General features: G+C 43.8%; 1 protein-coding gene across 31 annotated transcripts in view, besides 3 other annotated features; it reads right to left on the reverse strand.

The window, feature by feature from the left end:
• The window catches only part of ZDHHC21 (zDHHC palmitoyltransferase 21), a 104,636-nt gene extending 99,545 nt beyond the window's left edge, over positions 1-5,091 (reverse strand). For all 31 annotated transcript variants that reach the window (XR_001746284.2, XR_001746285.2, NR_148714.2 and 28 more), the window contains exons 1-2: positions 4,888-5,091; positions 1,996-2,044 (exon numbers count right to left, since the gene is read on the reverse strand). The gene's annotated coding sequence lies outside the window, so the exon portion shown is untranslated. The remainder of the gene's footprint in view (positions 1-1,995; positions 2,045-4,887) is intronic.
• Positions 4,733-4,872: a silencer, noted in NCBI's record as "silent region_19775". NCBI's record gives its function as "represses an Ori minimal core promoter by ATAC-STARR-seq in GM12878 lymphoblastoid cells {active_cell/tissue: GM12878}" and the evidence as "EXISTENCE:reporter gene assay evidence [ECO:0000049][PMID:35858748]".
• Positions 4,953-5,022: a silencer, noted in NCBI's record as "silent region_19776". NCBI's record gives its function as "represses an Ori minimal core promoter by ATAC-STARR-seq in GM12878 lymphoblastoid cells {active_cell/tissue: GM12878}" and the evidence as "EXISTENCE:reporter gene assay evidence [ECO:0000049][PMID:35858748]".
• Positions 5,096-5,596: an enhancer, noted in NCBI's record as "H3K27ac hESC enhancer chr9:14693435-14693935 (GRCh37/hg19 assembly coordinates)". NCBI's record gives its function as "activates a minimal SCP1, AML or CMV promoter by ChIP-STARR-seq in primed H9 embryonic stem cells {active_cell/tissue: H9 hESC(primed)}" and the evidence as "EXISTENCE:reporter gene assay evidence [ECO:0000049][PMID:30033119]".

Consider the following 6,000-nt stretch of genomic DNA (forward strand, 5'->3'; position numbering starts at 1 on the left):
GGAAAGTGAAAGATAAGTTTTACTTCTAGTTTTACAAACTCCAGAATGAAACAACGTTTCTAGGTCCCCATCATTAAAAGTAATGAAACAGTTTAACAATACCCCAGGGCCTGCTCTTGCCTGTGATCATACCATGTTGGGAGGTGAGTAGGGGTAGGATTGCTTGAGCTAAGGAGATCCACAGCAGCCTGGGCAACACAGCCAGACCTAGCCACTAGTTAAAAAACAAACAAATGGGGGCCAGGCACAGTGGCTCATGCCTGTAATCCCAGCACTTTGGGAGGCAAAGGCGGGTGGATCACCTGAGGTCAGGAGTTCAAGACCAAACTGGCCAACGTCGTGAAACCCCATCTCTACTAAAAATACAAAAATTAGCCAGGCATGATGGTGGGCACCTGTAATCCAAGCTACTCGGGAGGCTGAGACAGGAGAATTGCTTGAACCCGGGAGGCGGAGGTTGCAGTGAGCCGAGATCACCCCACTGCACTCCAGCCTGGGTGACAGAGCGAGACTCTGTCTCAAAAACAACAACAAAAAACGAACAAACAGAAAACCAGCCGGGTGTGGTGGCACATGCCTGTAGTCCCAGCTTATTGGGAGGCTGAAGTGGGAGGATCGCTTAAGCCAGGGAGATGGAGACCAAGGCTGCAGTGAGCTGTGACTGCACTGCACTCCAGCCTGGTCAACAGAGTGAGATCCTGTCTCAAACAAAAAACAAAACAAACACAAGAACAACAAAAAATGCCCCGTTATCTACTTTTTTAAAGTCTGTGAACTAGTCAAAAAAACTTCAAATATTACAGCCCTTCGGCTAGTATCATACTAGCTGAAGTTGTATTTCTACACGTTGGTTAGGGGGATCTTTAAGAAGAAAACCGAAAATAGAGATTTGATCTAAAATAGAATGAATGAACTGAAGCCCCTAAACTAAATCACATTCAAGTAAAAGCAGGACTGGTGAGCAAAGGAATAAAGTGTGAAAGAAAATCAGTACTTGATCTCAGAAGCTAATAAAGAATGTATAATGCAAGCAGGGATTCTGAATCAATTGCTGAGTTTTCCAGGAAGACTTTGTAAAAACGTGGGTGGACAAAGTGTCAAAGCATAAAATACTTGCACTATCAATGGTTTCAAGAATCCACTCTGTAGACTAAGTCTTTAAATTACATTCTGGGCAAAATTGAGCATAAGCTGTTGCTCTTCTCATAAATTTGTTTTTGTGTGCACCAGTCTCATGAGTGAAAAATAAATGTACATGACTGTATTAGTAGTACTACACTGCAGTATTAATACTGCTAACACTATCCTAGTAGTATTACTACTAGTAGTATTAGTACTGCTAATACAGGCATTTACCTTTATTTTTCCCTGCTTGCATTAACTTGCTTTAACTTTAGAGAAAGTAGATAACTGGGCCACTGTTTTTTGGGTATGTTTGTCTGAGACAGGGTCTCACTATGTTGTCCAGGCTGGAGTGCTGCAATCACAGCCCACTGCAGCCTCAGTCTCCATTCTCCCTGGCTCAAGCTCACTTCATTAGAATCTTCTAACAAAAAGTAAAAATAGCTTGGGAGGTGTGGGGTGATACGAATTAAAGACCACCAAATATTGTTTCAGTCAGTACAAAAGGTCTCTGTGGGAATTTTCATTAGGGAGATAGGAGTGGGAAAAGGGACTGAAAAGGCAAGATTAAATGTAGGATAGGGACAGGGATTTAAAAAGGTAACTTTTGTTCCAAAATCAGCACAAGGAAAAAACCTTCAGATACAGTAAAAGCCAGAAATGAAGAGGCCCAGGCTTTTCCTGGGTATGAATCAAGTATGTTCTTCCAAGAAGGAAGGGAAGCCTGCTACTTACCTTCTAGTACCCACCACACCAAGAGAGATTGGTGGGGGGTTGGGGGTAGAAGACTAAATTAGATTTCCTTCACACCAGGCTTTACCAAAGCAGCCATGATTTAAGAACACTAACACCATAAGAAAAATCTCTCCTCACCTGCTTGCTGAAGCTGAAAATCCTGCAGTAAGTGAAAAAGTTCTTCATTCTGTAATTACAGATAAAAAGCTTAAAATCAGAAGCTTGGTTGACATCACACTTGAGCATTTTAGGTTAGATTTAAAATAAAATTCACCAGTGAATGGTAAAATATCAATTTTACCCAACCTGCCCTTTTGTAGAAGGGGCAACACATCGGTTAAGAGAGTCTCTGAAATGGGGAAGAAGGTTAATCTACCCTGAGAGAAATAGCACAGAGGAAAAAGCAGCTTGAAAGGCAGAAGGCAAACTTCAAAAATGTCACAATTTTGCCTAGGTTAGGTCTAAAGAGCAAAACAAACACATAAAGTACCATCATACTAAGGTATTTTTGTTCAGGGACCTATCAATGAGCACAGTGATGATTCACATGTCTATGAAAATGTGCTTTTTAAACTAGTCTGACTTGACTTATCAAGAATTCTTAACAAATCACTTTCAACAATAAAAACTGTTTTACAATTTCACCTGTATTTTTACCTTTAATAAGAGTTATTTAAGCACTGATTATTCTACTAGATGCTAAATTGCCTATTATATTTAATGCATGTGAAAAGTTGAATCTGAGCCCTAATGTTTTACTAAAACAACATAAAAGGTTACATTCCTTAATATAAAAGTAAAACTGAATTTAGGGAACAAACTCTTGGCAATAAAAACAGCCTTTCCTCTGCCTTCCCTCTTTTGCCTGGTAGTATTGATACTGCCACTGTGTCACCTCCTATGCTAAAAAAGTTTTCACTGAGTCACATTCAATTACAATTCCAGAAAAACAGCTCCATGTTGAGACATTACTCAACTTCTCAAGCAGTTTCTTTACTAAACCACTATATAATAAGACTAGCAGGAGGACAAACAATAAACTGCTCCTTTATTGACCTTCTCACTCCTCTCCTCTCAACCCAAAGAGGTTTTCGGGAAAATGGCTTATGGATGGCAGCAGTTTGCACTTGTTACTATTCACTATAACAGGTCCCTGGATTGTAACTGCAGAGACCATTTGAGTTACGGTCTTTTTCAAGCTATATGTGGGTCACATTTTATAAAACCATTATTTTATTCATGCATTTTTCCACAGGTTCTGAATCGGTCATTACGAATTAAAGAAATGAGGCAGTAGGCAAATAAGAAGTACATGTTATGATTCATTGATTCTTGTCTCAGAACTTCCTGTTAAGCTGATTATATGTCTGCATTTTTAAATGCTTAGATTTCTCTTATTAAACAAAGTACCTCGTAGGCAAAAGTGACACGGTCCTCATCATTTTCTTTAAATGACGCTCTATTTCATTTATTCCAACTACAGCTTCTCAAGTATGTTAACAGAAATCTCAGTAGTGTCAAAGGATCTAATAGAATTGTTTCCATCGAAAATGATGAATTCTGGAAGAGTACTACACCAAAACAATTATGGAATTATACATTTTAACTTATATTTTCATATTTTACTAATACTTCGTATATGTTTTTAATGTACCTTCAAACCACGTTAAAGGGTCTTATTTAAAAACATTTTCCAAGTAAGCATGGAAAAGCTAAAATAAGCCTTAAATAATTTAGTCTGGCTCTCTGATGGTATAGAGAAAATAACATGGGTCATTGCCCTACCTGTAAACCCACAGCTGGATAGTGACAGAAATGGGACTAGAATCTAGTTTTTCTTTCCACGACACCAAATCTCATTTGGCTCTTTCTTTCCAGTGGATTTCTCACCTCAATTCTTCAAATATCTTTTTGCTTTTAAGAGATGGCACAAACTAAGGAAAAACAGAGCATCTCTCCGAATTTTACCTTTAAAATAAGTAAAATCTAAAGAGTTGGAAGAATTTAATATTACACCAAAAGCCTTTTAATCCAGGAATGGCGCATACTAAGCAGTCATCAAATGGTGACTGTTATTAATATTATTCTTACCACAAGGAAAGCAGTGAATTTTTAAAAGTGCATATATTAGCATAGTAGGCTGAGGACCTATTTAACACATCTTTTTAAATTGCACTTAATTATCCTTAGTCGCCTTTGGACTGTAACTTTACAATATAATTTATGACCCGCCCACAATGACCTTGATTTTTTTTTCTCTTCTACTTTTAGAGACTGCTATATTGCAATATTTTAAAGTAATAATTGGTCATGTCCTCTCAGCCCTGGTGATACAGACATCCACCCTGACTCTCAAGGGATCTTAAAATGTGACCCACATATAGCTTGAAAAAGACCGTAACTTAAATGGACTCTGCAGTTACAATCCAGCGACCTGTTACAGTGAACAGTAACAAGTGCAAACTGCTGCCATCCATAAGCCATTTTCCGAAAACCTCTTTGGATCAAGAGGAGAGGAGTGAGAAGGTCAATAAAGGAGCAAACTGTTTGTCCTCTCTGCAGCTTCACACCAGAAGTCTGGAATGAATGAAAAGCTCTGGAATAGCACAGAGAAACCCGGGATCCCAGTGCAGGTCTCCAGACGGGGGTGCGGGGAGAGAAACTGTAGTTTACAAGCGAGAAACTCAGGATACAGATTTAAAATAAATAAATAAATAACTAGCCAACATCGTCTCGACTAGAGCAGGAACCCCCCACCCCCAGTTGAGGGAGGAGCACTTAGCAAGGGGCTGTAGCTCTAGCAGAAGACGCTCTGAAAAAGGCCAGGCCTGGGGCGGGGAGGCACCGAGAAACCCCCGGGTTCCAAACAGAGCAGGTGCAGGGGGCGTGCAGGAACAGGTGAGGGCGTCCCGGCGCGGAGGAGCGGCGGGCGGGCCCGGCAGAGCGGAGCGGGGGCCGGGGATGGGGGTGGGGGTGCGGATGGGGATGGGGGTGGGGGCGGCCGCTTCGCCCCCGCGCCTGCACACTCACCGTCGCCGCTGGCTCGCCTCTCGCTGCCGCCGCTCTCCCGACCGCCAGCAGCTCTTTCCCCTCCTCCTGCCGCGCCACCTCCGCCTCCTCCGGCGCCGCCGCCCAGGCCGGGCCGCTCTCCCCTTCCGCTTCCGGGAGCCTGAGGGCCTGGACCGGCCGAGTGGGTGTCCGCATGCCCGCGCGCCCGCGTGGGGAGGGACGACTGCCGCCGTCGCCGTCTCGCTTAGCTCCCGGGAGCCGCGATGGGAGCCGCTGAGGGCCGAAACTCCTGCAATCGCGCCGCAGCCCCAGAGCCGCGGACCCAGGCAGACCGCACTCTCCAGAGCGCTTGCACCTGGCGCGCCTGGGCGCCTCTGCCCCTCCCCAGCCCTACTTGAGCCGTCCTTCTCATTGTCCCCATATCCTCACTGCTCACCTCTCCCGAGAGACAGGATGGGGGCCTTAGCTTAAAAGATTGCATGTATCCTTTCTTCGGGGGATGTGGCCAGCAGGCCTCTCTCCCCGCAGGTGTTCTGGGATGTCCCATGGTACCTTGCTTCAAAGCGCGGTCTGCAGCATCAGCATCCTCTGGGAACTCACAATCTTTGAAATGCACAATTTCAGGCCTGCTGAATCAGTACATGCACTTCAGCAAGATCACCAGGTGACTCCTGGGGTGCACCGTAAAGATGGAAAAGCATTGCACTGTAGTGCATGGTCTCGTCCACTTCAGACCCTCTATTGGGTTGCCTCAGACATCCCAGGATATTTCCTGTTCCTGTCCTCAACCTAAATCCACACCCAAACAATCTTTTCTTATATTTTGGGAGACCTCCAAAAGTTTCCTGCTTTCCCATCCCTGCAAAAGCCGACAACTTTTGGACTCAGCGATGCAAGTAATCCACCTCTCAGTCTAACTTGGTATCTTCACCAAACACCAGAGATCTACTAACTTTCCCACCTCACTCCGGCTGAACAGTATTTGGGGAAGGTTAAACCGTTTGCAGTAATGTGGAGCTAGATCTTTCTGCCCACGTGCCACAGGAGGAGACAGTGTGTTGGTGGAAGAAATATTACCTGTTGTATAAAATCTGTATTCCTTATAAGATGTGCTTAAAAGCCCTCCACAGACAC

Source organism: Homo sapiens, chromosome 9 (genome assembly GCF_000001405.40).
Source record: "Homo sapiens chromosome 9, GRCh38.p14 Primary Assembly".
Taxonomy (NCBI): Eukaryota; Metazoa; Chordata; class Mammalia; order Primates; family Hominidae; genus Homo; species Homo sapiens.